Source organism: Homo sapiens, chromosome 2, assembly GCF_000001405.40.
Source record: "Homo sapiens chromosome 2, GRCh38.p14 Primary Assembly".
NCBI lineage: Eukaryota > Metazoa > Chordata > Mammalia > Primates > Hominidae > Homo > Homo sapiens.
The window spans coordinates 153,479,789-153,506,629 of record NC_000002.12 but is presented as its reverse complement, the minus strand read 5'-3'; the positions used below and the strand labels follow the sequence as shown (position 1 = coordinate 153,506,629).

The 26,841-nt window shown below is 37.5% G+C and overlaps 1 protein-coding gene across 5 annotated transcripts in view, besides 4 other annotated features; it reads right to left on the bottom strand.

Annotated features, from left to right (window-relative positions):
• The window catches only part of GALNT13 (polypeptide N-acetylgalactosaminyltransferase 13), a 1,388,282-nt gene that overhangs the window by 949,945 nt on the left and 411,496 nt on the right, over positions 1-26,841 (bottom strand). The gene's annotated exons all lie outside the window — the stretch shown is intronic.
• Positions 6,843-7,344: an enhancer, noted in NCBI's record as "H3K4me1 hESC enhancer chr2:154355799-154356300 (GRCh37/hg19 assembly coordinates)". NCBI's record gives its function as "activates a minimal SCP1, AML or CMV promoter by ChIP-STARR-seq in primed H9 embryonic stem cells {active_cell/tissue: H9 hESC(primed)}" and the evidence as "EXISTENCE:reporter gene assay evidence [ECO:0000049][PMID:30033119]".
• Positions 7,611-8,131: an enhancer, noted in NCBI's record as "H3K4me1 hESC enhancer chr2:154355012-154355532 (GRCh37/hg19 assembly coordinates)". NCBI's record gives its function as "activates a minimal SCP1, AML or CMV promoter by ChIP-STARR-seq in primed H9 embryonic stem cells {active_cell/tissue: H9 hESC(primed)}" and the evidence as "EXISTENCE:reporter gene assay evidence [ECO:0000049][PMID:30033119]".
• Positions 8,132-8,653: an enhancer, noted in NCBI's record as "H3K4me1 hESC enhancer chr2:154354490-154355011 (GRCh37/hg19 assembly coordinates)". NCBI's record gives its function as "activates a minimal SCP1, AML or CMV promoter by ChIP-STARR-seq in primed H9 embryonic stem cells {active_cell/tissue: H9 hESC(primed)}" and the evidence as "EXISTENCE:reporter gene assay evidence [ECO:0000049][PMID:30033119]".
• Positions 10,521-11,022: an enhancer, noted in NCBI's record as "NANOG hESC enhancer chr2:154352121-154352622 (GRCh37/hg19 assembly coordinates)". NCBI's record gives its function as "activates a minimal SCP1, AML or CMV promoter by ChIP-STARR-seq in primed H9 embryonic stem cells {active_cell/tissue: H9 hESC(primed)}" and the evidence as "EXISTENCE:reporter gene assay evidence [ECO:0000049][PMID:30033119]".

Here is a 26,841-nt window from a genome sequence, read left to right as displayed (position 1 = left end):
GCCAAGAATTTTGTATCCAGCAAAACTAAGCTTCATAAATTAAGGAAAGATAACATCTTTTCCAGACAAACAAATGCTGAGAGAATTCATCACTACTAAGCCAGCACTACAAGAACTGCTCAAAGAGCTCTAAATATTGAAACAAATCCTGGAAACACAGCAAAATAGACCCTACTTAAACAGTAAATCTCACAGGACGTATAAAACAATAATACAATGAAAAAAAGGTATTCAGGCAATAAATAGCATGACAAATAGAATAGTACCTCACATCTCAATACTAACATTGAATGTAAATGGCCTAAGTGCTCCACTTAAAAGATACAGAATGGCAGACTGGATAATAACTCACAAACCAAGTTTCTGCTGTCTTCAGGAGACTCAGTTAACACATAAAGACTCACGTAAACCTAAGGTAAAGGTGTGGAAAAAGATATTCCATACAAATGGACACCAAAAGCAAGCAGGAGTAGCTATTCATATATCAAACAAACTGTAAAGCAGCAGGAATAAAAAAAGACAAAGAAGGACATTATATAATGATAAAAGTTCTAGTCTACAGGAAAATATCACAATCCTAAATATATACGCACCTAAAACTGGAGCTCCAAAATTTATAAAACAATTATTACAAGACATAAGAAATGAGATCAATGCCAACACAATAATAGTGGGAGACTTCAATACTCCACTGACAGGTCATCAAGACTGAAAGTAAACTGTGAGACAATGGACTTAAACTATATCCTAGAACAAATGGACTTAACAGATATTTACAGAACATTCTACCAACAGCTGCAGAATATACATTCTATGCATTAACACACGGAACATTCTCCAAGATAGACCGCATGATAAGGCACAAAACAAGTCTCAGTAAATTTAAGAAAATCAAAATGATATCAAGTACTCTCTCAGACCACAATGGAATAAAATTGGAAATTAACTCCTAACAAAACCCTCAAAACCATGCATATATATATATAGAAATTAAGTAACCTGCTCCTGAATGATCATTGGGTCAACAATGAAACGAATTTTTAAAAATTATTTGAACTGAGCAATAATAGTGACACAACCCATCAAAACCTCAGCAATAGTGGTGCTAAGAGGAAAATTCATAGCATTAAATGCCTACATCAGAAAGTTTGAAAGAGCAAACTGGGGTCACATCTCACAAAACTAGAGAAACAAGGACATTCCAAACCCAAACCCAACAGAAGAAAAGTAATGACAAAGATCAGAGCAGAGAATTAAATGAAACTGAAACAACAAGAACAATACAAAAGATAAATGTAACAAAAAGCTGGTTGTTTGAAAAGATAAATAAAATGATAGACCATTAGTGAGATTAAACAAGAAAAGAAGAGAGAAGATCCAAATAAGCTCAATTAGAAATGAAATGGGATATACTGATACCACAGAAATACAAAATATTATTCAAGGCTACTATAAACATCTTTATGGACATAAACTAGAAAACCTAAATGAGATGGACAGATTCCTGGAAATATACAACCCTCCTAGATTATACCAGGAAGATATAGAACTCTGAACAGGCCAATAACCAGCAGCCAGATTGAAATGGGAACTAAAAAATTGCCAATAAAAAAGTCCAGGACCAGATTAATTTACTGCTGAATTCTATCAGACATTCAAGGAAGAATTGGTACCAATCCTACTGACACTATTCGACAGGAGAGAGAAAGAGGGAATCCTTCCTAAACCATTCTATGAAGCCGGTATTACCCTAATACCAAAACCAGGGAAGGACATAACAAGAAAAGAAAACTACAGACCAATATCCCTAATGAACATAGATGCAAAAATCCTCAACAAAATACGAGCTAGCCAAATCCAACAGTATATCAAAAAGAATCCATCATTATCAAGTGGGTTTCATACCAGGGATGCTGGAATGGTTTAACATCTGCAAATCAATAAATGTGACACACCACATAAACAGAATTAAAAACAAAAATCATATGATCATCTCAATAGACACAGAAATAACATTTGACAAAATCCAGCATCCGTTTATGATTAAAACCCTCAGCAAAATCGGCATAGAAGGGACATACCTTAAGGTAATAAAACCCATCTATGACAAACCCACAACCATCATTATACTGAATGGGGAAAAGTTGAAAACATTCCCTTTGAGAACTGGAACAAGACAAAAATGCCCACTTTCACCGCTTCTATTCAAGATAGTACTGGAGGTCCTAGGCAAAGCCATCAGACAAGAGAAAGAAATCAAGAGCATCCAAATTGGTAAAGAGAAAGTCAAACTGTTGCTGTTTGCTGATTATATGATTGTATACCTAGAAAGCTCTAAAGACTCATCCAAAAAGCTTCTAGAACTGGTAGATGAATTCAGCAAAGTTTCAGGATACAAAATTAATGCACAGAAATCAGTAGCTCTGCTATACACCAACAGCAACCAAGCTGAGAATCAAATCAAGAACTCAACCCCCTTTTACAATAGCAAAAAATAAAATACTTAGGAATATACCTAACCAAGGAGGTGAAAGGTTTCTAAGAAGAAAACTACAAAACACTGCTGAAAGAAATCACAAACAACACAAACAAACAAATGGAAACACATCCCATGCTTGTGGATGGGTAGAATCAATATTCTGAAAATGACCATACTGCCAAAAGCAATCTACAAATTCAACTCAATTCCCATCAATATACCACCATTATTCCTCATGTAACTAGAAAAAAAAATCCTAGAATTCATATGCAACCAAAAAAGCCTGCAGAGCTAAAGCAAGACCAAGCAAAAAGAACAAATCTGGAGGCATCACATTACCCAACTTCAAACTATACTATAAGGCCATAGTTGCCAAAACAGCATGGTACTTGTATAAAAATAGGCACATAGGCTGGGTGCAGTGGCTCACACCTGTAATCCTAGCACTTTGGGAGGCCGAGGTGGGTGGATCATTTGAGGCCAGGAGTTTGATACCAGCCTGGCCAACGGGGTGAAACCTTGTCTCTACTAAAAATACAAAAATTAGCCGGGTATGGTGGTGCACACCTGTAATCCCAGCTACTCAGGAGGTGGAGGCACAAGAATAGCTTGAACCCAGGAGGCAGAGGTTGCAGTGAGCTGAGATTTTGCCACTGCACTCCAACCTTGGCAACGGAGCAAGTCGTTGTCTCAAATAAATTAATTATTTAAAAAAAAAATAGGCACATAGACCAAATGGAACAGAATAGAGAACCCAGAAATGAAGCCAACTGATCTTTGACAAAGCAAACAAAAACATTAAGTGGGGAAAGGGCACCCTATTCAACAAATGGTGCTAGGATAATTGGCAATCCACTGCAGGAGAATGAAACTGGATCCTCATCGTCTTACATTATACAAAAATCAACTCAAGATGGGTCAAATACTTCAATATAAGAACTGAAACCATAAGGATTCTAGAAGATGACATTGAAAAGATCATTTTAGACATTGGGTTAGGCAAAGACTTCATGACCAAGAACCCCAAAGCAAATGCAACGAAAACAAAGATAAATAGATGAGAGTTAATTAAACTAAAAAGCTTCACAGCAAAAGAAATAATCAGCAGAGTTAACAGACAACCCACAGAGTGGAGGAAAATCTTCACAATCTACACATCTGACAAAGGATTAATATTCAGGATCTACAAAGAATTCAAACAAATCAGCAAGAAATTTAAAAAAATCACATCAGTGGGCTAAGGACATGAATAGACAATTCTCAAAAGAAGACATACAAATGGCCAAAAAACATGAAAAAATGCTCAACATCACTAATTATTAGGGAAATGCAAATGAAAACCACAATGTGATACCAACCTTACTCCTGCAAGAATAGCCATGATCAAAAAATCAAAAAATTGTAGATGTTGGTGTGGATGCAGTGAATAAAGAACACTTTTACATTGTTGGTGGGAATGTAACCTAGTACAACTATGGAAAACAGTGTGGAGATTCCTTAATGAACTAAAAGTAGATCTAACATTTGATCCAACAATCCTACTACTAGGTATCTACCCAGAGAAAAAGAAGTCATTATACACAAAAGAGACTTGCACACGCAAGTTTATAGCAGCACAATTTGCAATTGCAAAAATATGGAACCAGCTCAAATGCCCATCAATCAATGAGTGGATAAAGAAAATGTGGTATATATATCATGGAATATTATTACTCAGCCATAAAAAGGAACAAAACAATGGCATTGGCAGCTAGCTGGATGGAATTTGAAATTGTTATTCTAAGTGAAGTAACTTGTGAATGGAAAACCAAACATTGCATGTTCTCAGTCATAAGTGGGAGCTAAGTAATGAGGATGCAAAGGCTTAAGAATGATACAATGGACTTTGGAGCTTGGGGGAAGGGGTGGGAGTTGGGTGAGGGATAAAAGACTACACATTGAGTACAGTGTACACTGCTTGGGTGATGGGTACACTAAAAATTAAGAAATCACCACTAAAGAATTTATTCATGTAACCAAACACCACCTGTTCCCCCAAAAACCTATTAATATAAAAATAAATTTAAATAAATAAATAAAATGCCTCACAAAAAATAAATAATTTTTTTTAACTTTTCTTACTAGTCAGACTTCTGCTTTGTCTCTCTCTGTGCAAACTGGTTGTAGGAATGGTAAAAATTACTGTATTCTCTGCCCCTCCGTGAGTTCAAAAGCCAGAAGTATTGGCCATTTGGCGTGGCTAAGGTTGGGTAATAAGAGAATTAAAAGGACTTATTTTAAAAGGAGTGCTATGGTTAAAAGCCAGCTTAATTAAAAGCGGATAGCCAAGCTGTAGTTATATTTCAAAAGCCTTTATGTCTTTTCTCTTTGTGGATCTTGTTTTTCTTAAAAAAAGTTTTTTTCTTCTCAGTCGACTGAATTATTTTTCTCCATTTTATCTTGGCTCTCTTAATGCACATATGAGAAGCCCTAAGATAACTTCTGATGTCCAGGGACTCCTTGGGAAAAACAAAGGAGGTGGCCGGGTGCGGAGGCTCATGCCTGTAATCCCAGCATGTTGGGTGGTCGAGACAGGTGGATCACCTAAGGTCAGGAGTTTGAGACCAGCCTGGCCAACATGGTGAAACCTTGTCTCTACCAAAAATACAAAAATTAACCGGGCATGGTGGTTTGCGCCTGTAATTCTGGCTACCAGGAGGGCTGAGGTGGGAGAATCGCTTGTAACTAGGAGGTGGAGGTTGAAGTGAGCCGAGATTGTGCCACTGCACTCCAGCCTGGGCGACAGAGGGCGACTCCATCTCAAAAAATAAAAATAAAAACAAAAAAAACCAAAAAGCAAACAACAACAACAACAAAAAAGGAGGTGAAACTAAACTACTGAAAGAAAACAGACTGAAAAGCTAAGTCTTCCCTCTTCATGAGTAAAAGCTTTGCCTTCTTTGAAAATTTTTGAGTCATCATTTTGGCTAAATAAATGACTTACGGTAATCTGGAATTCTATTTCATAATATCAAGTGTTTTAAACCTTTAATATATTTGATAGGCTTCCCAAAATGAAATTTCAAATTTATATATTTTTTTTTTTTACTGGTAACTTTGGGATGCTACAGAGGGCCCCTGAAATATCCGGAAGACAGGTAAACAGGATTATTTGATGTGCTTAGTTACATGGGATTGTCAAAATAAAAATAAGGCTTAATCTTTTTCAGTTATATTTTTGTGAATAATATTAATATATGTTCCAAAATTGTATGAGATTTCTAAATTTTAATGTCTGAGTATATGTTATCAATCATAACTAGGGTTATTATGTTATTATAAACCACAGAAATAACCAAATTTCTTTGTCAATCAGGTTTTTGACTGTGACTACCCTAAAACATTTTGCCATTCACAGACAATTGTTGTCTTGTTTTGATCCTCTTGTTTGATCCTCTTCTAAAGATAGTTTATAATCAGCTATAGGACTTTGACAGATGCTCATTAGTTGTTTTTAAGTTTTTGTCTGCATTTTAGACTAAGCCTGCTTATTCCTGTGACCAACCAGTGATCTCTAACTGCAGCTCAGAAGAAACAAAAGGGATACATAATGTAAAAATCTGGACCAATATTCTAATTCTGGGCAATTATCCTGCAAACGCTGCCAGGTGATGGGGTTAAATGTGGTCCTCATAACCCGCAGGTTTCTTTTTTGAAAAAATAAGACCAAGGAGCTAACTGAAGCCAATCTCCATGCACCCAAGTCTTAGCAAGCACAACTGTAGCTACCAGTTATCTAGGTGTGTCAGCAGCCTCAGGACTTTTGAGCTGTCCTTACCCTCTTGTTTCATTTTGATCTATGTCTTCTAATAACCCAGTTGTCTCTTCTTGTCTTCAGGCCATCACACTCCAAATGGTCATGCAAATGGAACCATGGATGATGGCTCCCTTTTACTGGGAACCCTTAGATAGGCCTCTGAGAGATCTGACTGCTGTTTTCCCCAAAACATGCCCCCTGTCATTATGAAGCAATTAAGATGAGGCATCATCCCTATCTTAATGACAGTTAGATGTACCTCTTCACATGAGGGATTGATGGCAGCAGCAGCCCATCTGGAGCAGCCACCTGTGGGGATGCCAGCTGCAGTGGGGGAGGCATGGCTGGAGCTGTGCACTCCAGGGAGCTGGTGGGAACAAGCAGCAGGCGGGAGAGCTGGCCCCTTCCAAGTTGGGAGTTGTGGGAGCCCTGCACTCCTGGGTTCAGCTGCAGCTGCCCAGCCGCAGCTGTGCACCCAGGCATCCCTGCACTCTCAGGGGACTGGGAAGCCCCCTAACCCCAGAGGCTCAGAAGTGCCTGCTCCCACTGCCTGGCCTCTCCCAGCTCCAGGTGGATGCTCTGATTTCAGAGCAAAGTTGAAGCCAAGCCTGGGCCCTGTCACTACCCAGCTGGATATGCATGTGCCCAAGGCAATGCTTACATGCCAGCCCCCTGCCCCCTCAGCCCCCTCTGGAATTTGGGTGCGATGAGCACAGGAGGGAGGCTGAGGTGAAGTGTAGGGTGGCTTGGCACAGGTCTGCGGGCATTCCTCGGCATGAAAAGCCTGGGCATCATGGACGACATGACTGATGGTGGCAGGAGGCAGACAGGCTCCTGGGTGGAAAGGGGCAGGTCCCCAGTGAAATCCCACCTTCAAGCCAGTGACGGCCTGAAGCATGGGGAGCAGGCTGTCAGTTCCAGGTGAAGTTAATAAACCAGAGTGAGAACTTACGGGACTTTTTCCAGACCCACCCATGTCCACTCATGAACCAATCAGCACTTCCTCCCTTCTAAGCCCATAAAAATCCCAGACTTAGCCAGACTCGAACAAACTTTGTGATGACCTGCCTGCAGAAAGGAGCCACCCATTTTGGGTCTCCTGAGAGCTGTTCTGTCACTTAGTGAAGCTCCTCTTCACCTTGCTCGTCCTCCAGTTGTCTGTGTACCTCATTCTTCCTGAAAGCAAGATAAGAACCCAGGACCTGGCCAGGCACAATGGCTCACGCCTGTATTCTCAGCACTTTGGGAGGCCGAGGCGGGCGGATCACGAGGTAAGGAGATCAGATCGAGACCATCCTGGCTGGCACGGTGAAACCCGTCTCTACTAAAAATACCAAAGATTTGCCAGGCGTGGTGGCGGGCGCCTGTGGTCCCAGCTGCTCGGGAGGCTGAGGCAGGAGAATGGAGTGAACCCGGGAGGCGGAGCTTGCAGTGAGCGGAGATCGCGCCACTGCACTCCAGCCTGGTGACAGAGCGAGACTCCGTCTCAAAAAAAAAAAAGAACGAACTTAGGACCCACCAAATGGCAGGATTGAAAGAGCTGTAACACAAACAGGGCTGAAACACACCCCCCAACCCTGCTCACCGCATTTCAGGCAATGAGAAGGAGAGAAGAGCTGCGGCCCTTTAGGGAGGGCAGACCTAGGGGTTCCCCGAGCCAGGGCTGTGACAACCTCTTTGGAGCTCTGCAGTTCCTGTCATCTCCAAGCTTCTGGACACCACTGCATTCCCCTTGTCCAGATGTGGGTGCCCGCAGAGGAAGCCACACATGGTACATCTGGTCCAGCCACAGCCTCACACAGAAGTGGCACCTGTACCAGCACCTGTAGCTGCCCGCCCCACCACAGCAGCCAGCATGCCTGGCTGTGCAAAGTGGCTGGACCCCGTGCTCACTCGCCTACATACCCCTAGCTGCTCTGCGCCTGGCTCGCCCTTGGCAAGTATGGGATCTGGGCCAATAGCGTTAGCCAAGCACAGCCTGCCAGCCTTCAAGGGCGGAACAAGCCCAGTGGGCACAAGATATATTCAGCAGAAGGTGCCGCCAGCCACAGAGGTTTCCAGCTGGCGAAGTGACACCCCAAGGATCCCATGACACTATTTTTGCTTTACAATTTTAAGACAAAACGTTTGAAAGATTTTTTAAAAAGGTTGTATCTTTTAAGAGTCAGGTGACCATGTGATTCCAAAATGCTGTTTCCTACACACGCTAGATGTCACTGCATGACCTGAAGTGTTGGCTCTAACTTGATCTATTTGTTTACTCTCCTTATAGGCAAGATCAGTAAGAGTACAAAATAATCTCCAGGCACATTTCCCGACAGCGGCAGGTTTGCTTGTATCTGGCCATTGTACTAATAAAAATGAATTCTTCTGAACTCTCACAGCAATTCTATACATTAACCTACAAAGCAACATTCTCATTTTTCTTTTTATTGACTCTTTCTTTTCCAAATTCTGAATGTTTGCATTGATGAGTAAACAGATGGTCCCTAATCTAAAAGATACTGGGAGAAACATGGCCAGGTGCAGTGGCTCACGCCTGTAATCCCAGCACTTTGGGAGGCCGAGGCGGGCGGATCGCCTGAGGTCAGGAGTTCGAGACCAGCCTGGCCAACATGGTGAAACCCCGTCTCTACTAAAAATACAAAAAGTAGCCGGGCGTGATGGTGGGCGCCTATAATCCCAGCTATTCAGGAGGCTGAGGCAGGAGAATTGCTTGAACCCGGAAGGCGGAGGTTGCAGTGAACCAAGATCATGTTACCGCATTCCAGCCTGGGAGACGGAGTGAAACTCTGTCTCAAAAAAAAAAAAAAAAAAAAAAAAAAAAAAAAATGCGGGAGAAACGTAAAGAAAATAAAAAGTAGCTAATGAACTTAATGTGTTCCAAATCCAATACATAGTTATGGAATGCTTTCTGTGTGTCAAGCACCAATAAGCAGCAGGAGACATAAAATATGAAGGACACATAAAGAACTGTGGGAACATAGAGAAGAGGCTCATAAAGGAATTAGGCAACAGACACCAGCCCCAAAAGAAACAGCTAATCTTCATTTGAAAAAACTTATATACTTGAGGTGGTTTATTATTTGTGCTTCCTTAGGTTCGAGCAACATTTATCAACTATATTTAGTGCTCCGTGAGATGTAAATAGGTGTTTAGCAGAAAAGAATTCCACAGTCAAATAAGTCTGAAAAAAATTTTGGCTATTAAAAAGCCAACAGGCATGTTTTAATTGCAGAATTTCTCAGAGTGTCCGCTATTTGAATGTGAATTTCATCTCAAAGAGGAATGCAGTACCTATTATGTCTTAATGAGAGATACATTCTTTTTTTTCTTTTTTCTTTTTTTTTTTTTTTTTTTTGAGACAAAATCTTGCTCTGTCGCCCAGGCTGGAGTGCAGTGGTGCAATCTCAGTTCACTGCAACTTCCGCCTCTGGGGTTCAAGCGATTCTCCTGCCTCAACCTCCCGAGTAGCTGGGACTACAGGCGTGCACCACCACACCTGGGTAATTTTTTTTTCTTTGTATTTTTAGTAGCGATGGGGTTTCACTATGTTGGCCAGGCTGGTCTTGAACCACTGACCTCAGATGATCCACCCACCTTGAACTCCCAAAATTCCGGGATTATAGGCATGAGCCACTGTGCCCAGCCAAGAGATACATTCTTAAGAAACAGTGGTTTCCCACCTAACAGGTTTAATGAAAAGCAGTAGAAGAAATAACAGTGGCTACTTGGAATATGAAGATTTAATATTTATGGCTGTTAATATTTTATAGATTAGAAAAAAATCTGTGATCTTATTTTTACCCAATTACTGGAAATTGATCTGAAAAAAACTATTTTACAAAGTCAGGATATTTTTTAGTTTGATTTTTCCTTTTTGTAAGTAACTTTGATGTAATATCAAACAAATGTTCTATGCAGTGCAATTCAAAACTCACATCAATTATTTAGCTGAAACAAACAAAAAGAGACTTAGAAGAAATTGGATGTATACAGTAAATTTCAAGCCATGCTCCCAGATTTCCTAAGAGTTAAGTATTTATCTCCCTCTGCCATTAGGGATTCCTTAAAAAGGAAAGGTCCAGAAACCATTCTATTAGGATAAACCATGGTTTATGTGAACTCGTTGAGCTAAAGAAAATGGAACAATGCTATGAAGAATATATTGCAATAACGTTTATTAATGGGGCTTGGAGAAAATCAAACCCTAAAATATAATCTGAACATTGGCAAATGATCAATGCTGCATCTCTTCCTTCTTTGGTTCCACTCTGTCCTTCCCCACTCTTCATGCTGCTGCTAGAGACTGATTTGTTTGGACACCATCGGCAGGGCTATAACCTTTGGTTTCCTGTCAGTTCAGCCAGTAGGAACTCTGCCTGCCAAGACACTAACAAGCCCAAGAAGAGTGAGGTCTGGATATTTACTCTCCTGGCTCCTTTCCTGTAAGGTTACCTCAGGCTAACTTTTCCCTCAATGGAAGGTCATTACTCCTCTCAAGTGAGTGTTGACCAATGTGTATTACACAGAAAACAGCCATCACAAACAAGACAGAAAACAAAAGTGTCATGGTCCCATTTGCATTCCATGATTCCCTCCCCACTGTTTCAGAAACCATTGTTCTGTGTTTTGATATGATAGATTAGTAGTTTGCATTCTCTAGAATTTTATATCTACAAAACAAAATAGTATGTTCTCTTTTCTGTATGAATTTTTTCAATCAGCATTTTGAGATTCATCCAATATGTTGTTTGCATCAGTAGGTTCCTTTGGTTTTTGTTTGCTTGTTTTGTTTTTTTGAGTACTTTTTTGAATTCATGAAACAAAATGTGTTTATACATTTATGTCTTTATTGCAATTATGGTTGTTTCCAGATCTGGGCTCCTGTGATGTAAGCTACTATTATTGTACTGGTATTCCTGGATACATTTTTCTGTGGACAAATGTTTTTATTCTCTTGGGTAAATGCCAAGGAGTGAAATGAATTAGTCTTTTTATTTTGTTGTTGTTGTTTTTGTTGTTGTTGTTTGTTTGTTTGTTTTGAGACAGAGTCTCGTTCTGTTGCCCAGGCTGGGGTGTGCTTATAGTAGGTGAATGTCTAACATTTTAAGAAATTGCCAAACAGATTTCTAAAGGATTGTACCATTGTGTAGTCCTACCAGTGATGTATGAGAATTCTAGTTGTTCTACATCTTCACTAACACTTAGTATATTCTTTTTAGTTTTAGTCATTGTAATAAAAGGGAAAAAAAAGAAAGGCAAAATAATCAAGAAAAAGAAGTAAAATTGTGTCTATTTTCAGTAGGCAAGATTAACTAGTCTATGTAGTATTATCTCATTCTGATTTTAAATGCATTTTCCCAATTGAGATATTGTGAATCTTCTCCATTGTATTTACTGGACATTTTTACATCTTTCTTAAGAAGTATCTATTCAAATAGTTTGTTCATTTTTATTAGGTCTCTGGTCTTCTTATAGACTCAAAAGAGTATTATATATATTCTGGATATGTATGTTTTCTCCTACTATGTGGCTTACTTCTTTTGTTTTGCTAAAGTTTTCTTTCAAAGTGCAAAGTTGTTAAATTCTGATGAAATCTAAGTTACCATTTTTTTCTTGGATTACTTATACTTTCCTTTCATAGAAACCTTTGCCTACATTAAGGTCACAAAGGTTTCTCTTCTATTTCTTTGTTGAAATATTATAATTTTACTTTTTTACATTTATATTAATAATCCATTTCTTGTTAGTTTTTTAGCACAGTATGAGGTAAGGGTAAATGTTCACTTTTCCTCATGTATTTATCTAGTTATCCTAGCAACATCTAAAAGAAATGTTCCCTTCCCCATTGGATTGTTTTGGGGTACTTGCTGAAAATCAATTGGTCATATATGTATAAGTTTATTTCTAGACCCTCTATTCTATTATATTGACCTTTATATCTATCCTTTTGTTGCCAAACCACATTTAAAATAGTGCATGTCCACCAAATTAATTTTCTCTCTAAATTGCCCGCAGTATTCTAGGTCATTTTGATTTCTACATACATTTTTGAGTCATCTGATAAATTTATACTTTTTTAAAGTCTGTGGAAAATTTGGATTGGAATTGTGTTGGGAAAAATACATACACACAATTGGGAAAAATTATAATTTTAACAATACTAAGAAAGGAAATGTGTAAACATGGTACATCTTTTTAGTTACATAGGCCTTTTAAATTTTTCTCAGTGATGTTCAATAGTTGTAAGTGAAGAGGTCTTGTTCATTTTTTTTTTGCTAAAATTATTCCTAAATGTTATTTGTTGCTGTTATACAAAAATGTATTTGTTGCTTTTATATGAGCCCCCTATCCTCTGACCTTATAAAAAGCAGATGGTGGAGCCGTGCTTGTATAGCCCATAGAACTGTAAGCCAATTATACCTCATTTTTAAATAAATTTCCTAATCTCAGGTATTCCTCTATAGTTATGCAAAAATGAACTAATACAACAAACTACTATGATTTTTTTTTCTTGATGTGAAATCCAAGCTTGAATTACTGGGATAAACCCTACTTGGTCCAATATATTTTCCTTTTCATACATTGTTGGCTTTGATTAGCTAATATTTTATTAAGGATTTTAATATCTATATTCATAAGAATATTCATCTATAATGATTTTATTTTTGTAGTATCTTTGTCAGGTTTTCTATTAAGATTATGCTGGCCTTATATAATGAGTTGGAGAATGTTCCCTCTTTATTATTATCCTATTTTTCTGAAAAATGCTGTGTAAGATTGGTCTTATTTCCTCTTCAAATTGTGACAGAATTAACCAGTGAAATCATGTGAAAATTTCTGAGTAAGAAGGCTTTTTGATTTAAAACGAAATTATTTTAAATAAATTTTTATTTTCGTATTGTGTTTGTTACATTTGTCAATAAATTTATCCATTTCATTTAAGTTGTAGAATTTTTGAAATAGAGGTTGTTGACAATATTCTATTATTTTCCATTAATATTTGTAAGACCTTTCATTTCTAATATTAGCAATTTTTCCTTTCTCCCTCCTTTTCTCTCTCTCTGTGAAACAGTGATCATCTTTGCTTGGTGCTTATCAATTTTGTTGATATCTTCAAAGAACCAGGTTTCTGCATTAATTTTTTCTATTGTTTGCCTGCTTTCTATTTCATTACTTTCTGCTCTCAGCTTTATTATTTCCGTCTTCTATTTACTTTGCTCTTTTTTTTCTTAGCTTCTTCTGGTGGTACCTTAGCTCTTCATTTTAGGTCCTTCTTTTGTAACATTTAAAGCTTTAAGTGTTTTCCTAAACACCACTTTTGCTATGCCCCACACATTTTAATATATTGTTTTCACATTATCATTCAGTTTGAGCATTTAATTTTCTTTTTTTCCGTTTGACCCATGAATAATTTAGAAATTGTTTGTTAAATTTCTAAGTATTTGAGGTTTTCCTAGATGTTTTATTGTAAATGAATACTAATTTAACTATGCCATGATCAGACAATATACTCTATTTCAATACTTTTGGAATTAGTAAAACTAATTTTGGGACCCAACACATGTATTATATTGGTGAATGTATCACACATGCTGAAAATGAATATTCTGCAATTGCTGAGGGTAGCATTCCATAAATATCTATTGAGTCAAGACTATTGCCACTTATTTTTTAGTTTTTCTAGCTCTGTTCCTATCTGCACTTTCATGTGAACATTATTTCGTTTTTCCTCTGTTGTTTTTGTTATGCTCAAATTGTTTTCTATTCCCAGCAGTGTGGGACTTTGAAAGGAGATGTAGCTGGTTAATGCTGAGAGTTTATGTCTCAGCCTCTCTTGCTAGCTTCTTTAGTCTTTTATGTAGACCGCTTGCACTCACCTGTTATTGAATTCTGCAAAGCAGCAACTCTAAAGTTGTAGCTAATGTTCTTCAATAGGTTTGCTAAACTTTTGGATTAGTACCTTTTAGTTAATCAGGTGTTCTCATGTCTGTCAGATACACTGTGGCTGTCTTCTGCTTCCTCCTTTGCAGATGCTGATACTACACTGGTCTTGTAGCTGTTGGTAATTTGTCCTTACTCACTCATACTTTAGGGTTAATGAGGATGTCTTGTCACCTCCACTTGTTTTAGACGCTGTCTTCAGGTTAGGCTTTCATATCCTAATTTCCCTATGTGTTTGAATGGTTGGATTTGAGAAGACTCATAAACTATTCTACCACCCACTACCATCATTCTGCCAGAATCCTCTGAACTCCTAGTATTTTGCTAATGTTTCCTCCTTTATGTGTAGTTTGCCATTTTAGTCACTTTTACATTTATTTTTTTAAATGGAATTGGAATTTTAGTATTTTATAAACAGTTTCCTTGGCTCTGTATTTAACAAAATGCTTCCTTTGATTTAAAATGCTTCATATAGAAATAAAGATAATACGGCCGGGCATGGTAGCACACACCTGCAATCCCAGCTCTTTGGGAGGCCGAGGCAGGCAGATCACTTGAGGCAGGAGTTCGAGTCCAGCCTGGCCAATGGTGAAACCCTGTCTCTACTGAAAATACAAAAATTAGTTGGGCACGGTGGCTGGCACCTGTAATCCCAGCAACCAGGGAGGCTGAGGCAAGAGAATCACTTGAACCTGGGAGGTGGAGGCTGCAGTGAGCCAAGATCACGCCACTGCACTCTAGCCTGGGCAATAGAGCGAGACTCCGTCTGAAGAAATAAATAAATAAATAAATAAATAAATAAATAAATAAATATAATATGGTTTAGGTGTGTTTCTGAGTTTTCAAATGTGATCTTCTGGCATGGCTCTTCCTTCATTAATACCATACTGTTCTTGTTCTCACAGGGAGAGTCTGTGCTCACTATCTCCCTTTCTAAATGATTTCAGTTATTTTCCTAAGTATCAGAGCCCTTTAGGATTTTGAATGAAATCACATTGTAGTTATAAATCTAATTAATGTCTTTACTATTAAGTATTTTATCCAGGAATGTGGTACGTTATTAGCTCAAATCTTCTTTTATGTTTCTTAGTAAAATTTCAAACTTTTCCTTTGTGAAGCTTCACATTTTTTCTTATATTTATTGTATATCTGTTAAATTTTTATTCTATTGTGAAATGATTTATTTCTAACATACTATAATCTGTTATTGCTGAGTTAAAGAATAATTATTGTTGTGTTTGAATGATTTTGCTTTTTTCATTTCATCTCCTAATTAGATAAATTATGTTCACATATTACATCAAATTAGTATGTCCCATATTAATAGATTTATAGTATTAAGTCATCCACTTATTCCTAAAATAAATCATAGTTGTGGTATAAAATTATATCGATACTATCAGGTTGAGTTAATAGATATTCCTTTATAATTTTTTTTTTTTTTTTTTGAGACAGAGTCTGGCTTTGTCACCCAGGCTGGAGTGCAGTGGCACAATCTCGGCTCATTGCAACCTCTGGGTCCTGAGTTCAAGTGATTCTCCTGCCTCAGCCTCTCAAGTAGCTGGGATTACAGGCACCCACTACCACACCTGGCTAATTTTTGTATTTTTAATAGAGATGGGGTTTCACCATATTGGCCAGCCTGGTCTTGAACTTCTGACCTCAGGTGATCTGACTGCCTGGGCCTCCCAGAGTGCTGGGATTACAGGTGTGAGCCACTGCGCTCAGCCAATTTTGTATTTACTCATAAGTGAAGCTGATTTGTGGTTTATTTTGGTATTGTCCTTGAAGGTTGAGGTTGAGGCAACATTTGTAAAATGTATAACATAGTGAAACCCTTTGTCTATTAAAAATACAAAAATTAGCCAGGAGTGGCAGTGCATGCCTGCAGTCCCAGCTACTTAGGAGGCTGAGACATGAGAATCACTTAGCCTGGGAGGCAGAGGTTGCATTGAGCCAAGATTGTGCCACTGCACTCTAGCCTGGGTGACAGAGCAAGACTTTGTCTCAAAATAAATACATAAATAATAAATAAAATATTTCTCTTTTATCCATGAAAATGACTAAAAATTTCTTAAACAGGCAAAAATACCAATCATTTTTTAAAAAATATTGTCTATATTTATCTATGAATAATCCAAAACATTAAAGTTTTTAAAAAATTTTCCAGTAAATTAATGGAAAACGTAGATAACTTTTAATACCATTAGAATATTATCCAAAGGCAGCCATCTTAACAGATATTCCTGTCACAAGAACCGAACAAATGAATTCCACACGCCAGGACACTTTGTCTTCTGGACAGAATAAGAAACACATTAGCAAGCTTACTTGCTTTGGATCAGCATCACTGAATGTTGCATTGCTGAAGCTGCCCCTGTTTTGTATTGTGTGTTTGTGTGTGTGTGTGTGTGTGTGTGTGTGTGTAAAACAGGGCCTTGCTTTGCCCGGGCTGGAGTGCAGGGGTGTGATTATATCTCACTGTAGCTTCAAACTCCTGGGCTCTAATAATCCTCCCACCTCAGTGAAGCTTCCTCTTTTTGAGTGACATAACCTAACTATGCATGCTAAGAAATTTTACTTTGCAACAGTTTTGATATGCTATTATAAACACAATTTATTTACTCTTAAATATCTGGTTTGAGAACCAATAGTTCCTAGGAACCATTCGTATACACCTGATCTTACCTATTATGCCCTTAATTTAAAGTCCTTCTCCAAAATGGTGGGTTGCCTTGATTTTGCCCTATCTTGTATTAATCGAAACATAGGTTGGGGATTAGTAATTCCACTTGTATTTAGTAATTACTGACTACAACAATGAAATATAACCTTGGATATACGGCAACAGTGAAATATAACCTTGCGTTAGGAAAAATAAACATGCCCCACCAACTGTCTTCTTTTTCTTTAAATGTCTGAGTGCTATCCAAACAATCTTTGTACTACAGGGAGCATCAAGAGATGTTTAACATTTAAGAGTCAATTATTGAAAAGGTAGAATGAGGCTCTTAGTCTCTTTTGTGCTACTATAATGAAATACCACAGACTGGGTAATATATAAAGAACAAAAATTTATTTTTTAAAAAAGAAAGCATGCTTACATGTGCCTTTTGTTTGTATTATTGTTTTTTATAGATTTAGGAAGTATATGTGCAGTTTTATTACATGGATATGTTGTGTAGTTGTGAAGTCTGGGCTTTTAGTGTAGCCATCACCTAAATAGTGTACGTTTTATTTAATAGGTAATTAATTTCTCACCCCTCAGCCCCCGCAACTCTCCCATCCTTCTGGTCTCCGATGTCTATTATTCCACTCCCTATGTCCATATGTACACACTATTTAGTTCCCACTTATAAGTGAGAACATGCAGTATTTGACTTTCTGCCTCTCAGTTGTTTCACTTAAATTAATGAAATTTATTTATCACAGTTCTGGAGGCCAGGAAATCCAAGATCAATATGCTTGCTATGTCCTCACACAGCAGAAGGCAGAATGGCAAGAGAGGACAAACTCCCTTCGTCAGGTTCCTTTGCAGAGGCACCTAATCCCACTAATAAGGGAGGAGCACTTATGGCCTAATCACCTTTTAAGGGCCTCACCTCTTAATTGTATCACATTAGCAACACCTGAATTTTGGAGGGGAGGCAGTCAAACCATAGCAGGCTCCATTATTTTTTTCTTAGAGTTTTCAATTGTCTGAGTCTTTTCATACTGGAAATAGCTCTGGATGTATCACAGATGCATCTTACAGAATTTGGACTCAACAATGTCATTACACCAGCTCCATAGAGATTAAATTCAAGGCAGGCTCTCCAGCAATGATGTTGTGGAATGCAGTCAGACCATCAGCGAGATTCAAGACCCACCAAAAACATCATTATCTGGGCAGGACATAGAGGTGGCTGGTGACTATTAAGGTTAAAGTGGGTCACTCAGCAGCCTGAAAAATAATTGCTTGTTAAGCATCACAAAACCTTCACTTGGAGCAGTATACTATAGCTCTAGGTGGCTGAGGAAAAAAACAGTGTCTAAAAGAACACCCTAGCAAGGACTGCGTGTCACTGCTCAGTGTGTGCGAATGTGACATGCTGAATGCAGACACAGACTACAACAAAAAGAGCCTTCTTCACAGAGAAAGAACTGAGGCTCCCCAGGCGGAAGTGCCTTCTCTGTGCATTTCAGTCAGGTTTGCCATGGTGACAATGTCCTCTTTTAAGGTGTCCAGCACAACTGAAGAAACTGAAACTAAAACAAGGATATTCATGTTCTGGATGCTGCTGTCAGTGAATTACAAAATGAGTTTCTAGAAATGAGAAGCCACCTCCTTCCTTTGGCTACCAGGCATCTCTGGTATGATTTATTTAACATGTAATGTATAAGACTTTATGCTGTTCCCAGAAGTTTCATTTACCTTAATATTCCTTTGGACTGCCTGCAGAGGTTCTTTTTAAAATGCAAATCTGACTTTTTTTAGTCTGCTGCTTAAAGCCCTTCAATGTGTCCCCATGGCTTTCAAGTGGAAATCCACATTCTTTAAGATGCAAAAAAACAAAGCCCTCATGATTTGGACCCTTCAAATTCCTTGATTGTTCCCAAACTTGTAATAGTCAATACTCCAAAAATACAGAACTCCTTGCATGCACAAAAGTAAAATGCATGTTCTCTCATGCCTTGGTGCATTTGGCATGCTTCGCCTGGCTAGCTGTCTCCTATTTATCCTTCATGACTCAGCTCATGTATCATGTCCTCATTACCACTCTCCCAGTGCCCCAGTCTGGATTACATGCTCTTCATACATTTCCCACAGAATTTATCACAGGCTACCATAATTGCTTTTTTGCATGATCTGCTTCCCTAATTTCTGGAAGGCAGAGACTGTGTCCCTTAGATCTATACCCCTAGAGAATGTTATACACATAAGATGCTCTGTAAATGTTTCCTGGATAAATACACTAATTAATTGCCATAAAAATATTGGAGGGAAAAGAGAAATGGTTGGCAGATAAGGAAATTGAGCAGAGTGATGTTGGTAGGCGACTGGCCCAACGACATCCATCACATTGACTTTTAATATTTGTCAACTGCAGAATCACAGGTGTGCATACAGTAAATGTTGGACTATTGTTGCCACTATGAGCAGTGTATACACACAGAAATGCTGCTACCCCTGCTTGTTATCTGAAAATAGGTGACCTACATTGTTTCTCTCTTGCAGAAGTTGTAAATCTTCATGAGTGCAAATATACAAGTCTAAATTGAACATGGTATTGTAGAGATTTCGTTTTCCTCCTTTGCTTCTGGGATGATTTCTCCTTCATGTTTTTAAAATCAATATTGGAGTAAAATAACACACACTTGTCCTATGGAAACAGATATAATCCCACCTCTGATTAATCGAGCTGAATCTGATAAACTGGAGACATTGCAACTTTTGTGCCTCCTTGCAGCCACCTGCTTTTCCCCATATTGAAGCTGGTGCAACTCTTGTTTCTTAGGATGGGAGGGTATACATCAGTGAAATGGAAGATTATAAGCAGTTCAGTGGCTTTTTCACTCCAAAGTCTAAATCATGCAGACTTTAAAGAGTACATGGAAAGTCAGAGTGAAATAATGACAAAAATTCTGTGGAGGCAAAAATTGTCTATGCTGCACATCTAAAAATAGGATGCTATAGGTCTATGATGTATCATTCGGAAAACTGCATGCTCAGTGGTCAGAATTTTTAAATCAAGCTTGGGGTGAGTTATTACATGCTTTCTTTGGCCCTTTATTTCAACGACATTAAAGAAATATTAACAGATGAGAGAGCACTGTGGCTACTACTCACAACGTTATTTCACATGCCTGGCATGTAAAGAAAGCCCTGACTCAGTGCAGCCAACTGGGTAACACAAGTTCAGTCTTCACTCTCCTCCCACAGAAAGAAGTCCACTGTAATCAGATGTCACAGGTAAGAGATTGAGGGAATGTATTTAAATAAAAGACGAAGAGGTTTAATTTTTACGGCTGTCCCCACAACCTCGGTTATTTTTCCTCTGATCTACCCTTATTACATAATAATTTTGAGTGCCATAAGAATATAAATACTAAAATCAAAAGATAAAATAGACAGACACAGTCTCTACATTTTAGAAGCTTAAAGTTTACAAATTTCATTAAAAGGAAGGTGAGGCTGGGCACGGTGGCTCACACCTGTAATCCAGCACTTTGGGAGGCCGAGGCAGGTGGATCACAAGGTCAGGAGTTTGAGACCAGCTTGGCCAACATGGTGAGACCCTGTCTTTACCAAAAATACAAAAATTAGCCAGGTGTGGTGGCACATGCCTGTAATCCCAGCTACTCGGGAGGCTGAGGCAGGAGAATTGCTGGAACCTGGGAAGTGGAGGTTGCAGTAAGCTGAGATCATGCCATTGCACTCCAGCTCTGGGTGACAGAGAAAGACTCTTGGAAAAAAAACCAAAAAAACAAAAGGAAGGTGATTTATTTTCTTTTTTGTTTGTTTTTTAAGACAGGGTCTTGCTCTGTCGCCGAGGCTAGAGTGCAGTGGCACGATCACAGCTCACTGCAGCCTCAACCTCCTGGGCTCAAGCAATCCTCATACCTCAGCCTCCCAAGTAGCTGGGACTATAGGCATGCACCACCATGCCCGGCTAAAGCCTTTTTATTTTTTTATAGAGATGGGGTCTCGCTGTGTTGCTGGTCTGGGACTCCTGGGCTCAAGCAGTCCTCCTGTCTTTGCCTCCCAAAGTGCTAGGATTAGAGGAGTCAGTCAGTGTGCCTGGCCCAGTAATATATTTTCCTTTGTAAAGAAAAAGATACCTGAAATCCCTCATTTAAGTTCTGAATTCAAAAATTGTGTCAGCATTATTATTTACCTATTGATGGACTGTTTGGGTGGCGGCAAACCTATCTTACACATAAATACCTTCCAGATATTCCATTGTGTTAAATGTAAAGCAAATGCAAATATCAAAAATGTTTTTTAATAAAAAGGAAGTGTGTAAATAATAATTAAATTCTGGATGAGAGTGAACTTTCTAAGTTTAAAAGCAGTGAAAGAAATCACAGATGAAAGTTATCTACATATATAAGAATATTCCATATATCCAAGAAGAATACAGCCTAATTTAAAAGGCAAATGAGCTGGAAATCAATTTACAAATATGTCTTACGAAAAGGTTAATATATCTGATAAAAGAAGACATTATAAATCAATATGAATGATAAAATATCAATTGAGAAAGACAAAGAACCTGAACATAAAGTTTACAAAGCAGGATATACAGTCCTATAAGAAAGTTTTAGAAAATTTGTCCACTACAATACTAACATGCAACTTCAAACAAGGTACCACCTTTTCCCTGACAAACTTGCAACCATAATTTTAAAAATCATAACTCTTGGTGCTCAAGAACAGTCTTTCTGGGGTTATGCAGTAAAAACACAAGTTTATAGGAATCCCCTCAAACTGACCAAAGCAAAATCTCAGTAGATAGACCCAGGAAGCAAGTTTGGGGAACTCTAATTCAATTGACTGGCAATAGGAGGCAGAAACCAGTTATCCCCCATCCCCATCCTAGTTGATCTTAAGGCAAGCTTGGAAAACATTAAACAATGGTTTTCAATCAGGCTAGACTATTGAATCATTTGGAAGATTTTGAGAAATGCTGACATTTGGGCCCTACCTCCAGAAATTCTGATTTAATCATTGTGGGTTTGGTTTGGGTATAAAAAATTTTAAAGCATCTTTAGGTGATTTTAACATGTAGCCAAAGTTGAGAACTAATGCTCTAAAGATTAGGATAAAATGGGTGTTTGCATGCTTTACAAATAGGAGTAAAAATCGGGTACACCTTTTTTGGCAAACAATTTGGTTGCTTTTTGCTTTCTGTAAAAATAATAGTTTTTACTAAAAATTTCAATTTGTAAACTCATCCTAAAAGTGTAATTTAAATATAGGAAACATTATAAGGAAAAATGTTCTTTGTGCATAATTAATTCAATAACAATATTCGAGATCAATATAACTGCTCAGTTATGGTTTAATAAATAAATTATAGTATGTTCACATAATGGAATACTATACTCACTAAAATGTGTATATAAGTTTTTAATGCCATGGACAAATGTAGTATTAAGAAGGAAAAGCAAGGTATAAAATTGTATTTACTATATAGTCATGGCTATGTTCAAATAAGTATAGTAAAAAGAAAAAAATAGTCTACATTACTAGGGTGAGTATCTTTGAGCTATGAGAGTAATACATTTGGGGGGATTATTTTCTAAGTGTTCTGTATTTTCAAAAATGTAAATATTTATCTCAAATCTAATTTAAAATATTTAGAATATTTTATTGTGGTAAAGTACATAAAACATAAAACTATTTTAACAATTTTTATATGTACAATTCAGAGGCATTAAGTAGATTCATATTTTTGTGCAACCATCACCCTATCCATTTCCAGAAACTCTTCATCATTCCAAACTCAAACTCTGTACCCATAACTACTGTTACTCCTCTCCCCAATCCCTAGTAACTATCATGCTGCTTTCTGAATTTGGCTAGTCTAGGTACCTCATTTAAAAGTGAAATCATACCATATTATTCTTTTTTATCTGGCTTATTTCATTTAGCATAATGTCTTCAAGGTTCATACATGTTGTAACATCTATAAGAATTTCAGGGCAGGGCCGGGCGTGGTGGCTCACACCTATAATCCCAGCTCTTTGGGAGGCCAAGGTAGGTGGATCACCTGAGGTCGGGAGTTCAGGACCAGCCTGACCAACATGGATAAACCCCGTCTCTACTAAAAATACAAAATTAGCTGGGCATGGTGCCTCATACCTGTAATCCCAGCTACTCAGGAAGCAGAGGCAGGAGAATTGCTTGAACCCTGGAGGCAGAGGTTGCGGTGAGCTGAGATTGCGCCATTGCACTCCAGCCTGGGCAACAGAGTAAAACTCCGTATCAAAAAAAAAAAAAAAAAAAAAAAAGAATTTTATTCCTTTTTAAGGCGGAATAATATTCCATTTATGTAAATACCACAGTTTGTTTATCACTTCATTTGTTGATGGACGTTTGGGTTGCTTCCACCTTTTGGCCATTGTGAACAATGCTGTTATGAACAGTAATATACATATCCCTGTTTAAGTACATGATTTCAATGTTGAGGGGTATATACCTAGAAGTGGAATTGCTGGATTATGTGGTAATTTTATGTTTAATTTTTTGAGGAACCACCATAATGTTTTTCACAATGGCTGTACCATTTTACATGCCCACCAGCAATGCACGAGGGTTCCAATTTCTCCACATCCTTAGCATTTTTTACTCACCAAGGTCAACCATTTTATATGGAAATCTTTCTAAAATGTTTCACTCACTTTCCAGACTTCTTAGAAGAAAACTATTGAATAAAATTTAATGGCTTTTTTCATTTAATGACTTATGCATATTGATGTCCACCTCAGGAACTATTGCAATATATCTGTATTTGAGATCTTGCTATGTGCTAGGTACTGTTTTCCAGTTGTTTCCATAGAATAGATCAATCCTTTCAAAATTCTGTAAAGTGTTATCCCCATTTAACAGATAAGTAAATGAGGTACATAGAGGATTTAAAAAAAAAAAAAAAGGCTGGGTGCGTTGGCTACGCCTGTAATCCTAGCACTTTGGGAGGCCAAGGCAGGCTGATCACCTGAGGTTAGGGTTTTGAGACAAGCCTGGCCAACATGGCAAAAGCCTGTCTCTACCAAAAATATAAAAAATTAGTCAGGTGTGGTGGTGCATGTCTGTAAGCCCAGCTCCTCAGGAGGCTGAGGCAGGAGAATCGCTTGAACCTGGGAGGCGGAGGTTGCAATGAGCCCAGATCGTGCCACTGCAGTCCAGCCTGGGCAACAGAGCGAGACACCATCTCAAAAAACAAAAACAAAAACAAAAAACATGCCCAAGATTACATGGTTGTAAGTAAAGACAACAGGATTGAAAGCCATGCCTTTATGTAGTCTACTTGCCATTTAGACTGCTTGTCTCTATATTAAATGTCTCCAAACTATTACTTAATACTCTTAGAAAGTCTGTGTATGCTGTTTAACATTCTGTTTTTTCCTTCTGTTGTTACTCTTTGTGGTTGTAAAAGCACCTACCCCCTAGCCATTTCCTCCTCTTCAGAACACATGTTGATACTGATATCCTGTCATTAAGAAAAATAGACAAAGAAGTGAGTTAAAACTGTGAAAAATCAAAGTCGTAGGTTCTGAGAAAGAATTTGGGGAGGGATAATCTAAGGGTGAAATATATGAGCTTAGGTATTTAGCTTTTACGACATTTATTTTGGTGGTTCAATAAACTATTTTGCTTATTTCTGGCTTTTTTCTTATGTTTTGGCTATGGAATCTGCTATTATGAGTGGCTTCTGAATTTGAGTTCTTACTCTTACTCCTGCTTACATTGTGTAATATAATGTAATTTATTTTTTAAAAAGCTTGCCCCAAAGCAATAAATATCCTTTCAATGTTTGATATTTCCTTTTTTAAAATATCTGCTTAATATTTTCATAATGTACAAAAAGAGAAAATCAAAAATCTTTTGGCATTGAGTATCTGGTCCTACTTCAAGGCTATTCAAACTATAAATTACAGCAACCATCCATATCAGCATTCTGTAAAAATACCTTTACAGAATGCATTATAGGCCAAGGATATATTTTCCAGAAAGAGTAGGCAGTGTTTCTGTCCTTGTGTAACATGTATGTTATAAAATACTGGGCCTTTAACTCTCATAAAATCACACCTACCTATTTCCAATGAAGTAGAAGAGGACACTAGTTAAATAAATACAGCAGTTAGTCTTTCTCAGTATCAAAAATCTTTGCTTTAAAGTGAATTACCAGTATGCTCCCTGCATACCATATGTTCATCCATTTTTCTGGAAATTAAGTTTTTCAATGTCAACATTTCTTAAAGATTTCTTTTTTCACACTTGTGAGATTCTCCTAAGAAACAGGTGAATAAAAGGAGAAAAACTGAAATTGTTCACTGAAAATTCAAAAGGAAAAGATAAATAAAAGGGATTCTGTAAAACATAAAGATTTCTCTAGCAACACAGATCCCCTTAAGTCAATTAATGAATGAATAATAAATATAATTTTTGTATGACTAAGTTTATAATTAATTTCCATCTATATGTTCTAAGTAATTTTATTAAACAAAATCAGAGTGGAGGGAAAATAAGGGAAACAATCCCAAGATTGTCTTGAACAAAACCAGAGAGCTGAACTAGCTGATGGGGGAAATACCTATTACCTTGTCAACAATTTTGTGACTAATTAGTCCTTAAACCTGAGAGAAAAGATCCCACCCAAAGATTTGATTAAATATAAAAACTCTCCTGACTCCAAGGTTTGATCATTTTAACACTGACCTGACGAAAACAGCAATACTGTTCCTAGCAATAAATATACTCAAATTCTGATAATGATTCAACTAACACTTTTAGCATCCTTCCATATTGGATCTTACAAATGTACTATAAACTAACTCTTGGTTTTTGTCACATAAAGAAGGGGCTCTCCATTTGCTTACACCTAACTTCTACTGAACACACAGTTCTGTACAACTTGATCCCTGGAGGTGGGCCTCTGTTCTCTGACCTTTTATTTTTCTAAATTTCTATTACTTTTCTCTACCATTCATCTCAGGATGACTTTATATTGCCTTAAATTTGTTGTAATTTTTTCCATGTATACATTACGTTTTATTATTCTTGAGGACTACCCACATTAACTAAGATAGACTGATTGTATGATGAGATTTAAGTAAATTCTTACTTATCAATTATTAATAAATTTCTTCAAAGAAGAAATTGCCGAGAGTGAGGTATTTTTCAATTCTAATTAAATTATGGGAAACTAGAACAATAAGCCAGTGAATTGTGGTAGAAGCCCAAGCCTGAATTTTCAGCTGTTAAACATCCCCCTCAAAATAATAATAGCTATTTTAAAAAATCAAACTTATTGCAGCTGATATACCATAAATATCAAAAAATTGAAAACTCAACCAGAAGGCATTTCATTCTATTTTATGATAGTCATGAAGCAGTGCAAAAACATTTAAGGAACACTCTGAAGATGGAATAAATGATGTTTTAAGAAACAGAAATAAGAGGATTTACCAAGCAAACAGAATGAAATTAAGAGTAGAGTTGAAAATGGCAAGACAGCTACTATTTTTCAGTTTTATTTTATTTTTAATTGACAACTGTACATATTTATGAGGTACAAAGTGATATTTTGATACACATATACATGTGGAATGATCAAATCAGAGTAATTAGCGTACCCATTATCTCAAATTTTTATCAGTTCTTTGTGGTGAGAACATTTAATAGAAAGTAAATGTATTCTATTGGAAGCTCAAGTTACTGGTTTCCAGCTGTTACAGCTGAAAGAAAGAGGGAGGAAGGCAGGGAGTAATGGGGAAAAGGAGGGAGGGGAAAGAAAACAGAAAAGGGGGAGCGGGAACATGCAATATTCTTTCAGAGTTAAGAAACTTAATCTGACAGGTTTATAGAATTTCGTTGGAACCTAGAGCAAAATCACAATGGCTGAAGCGTCAA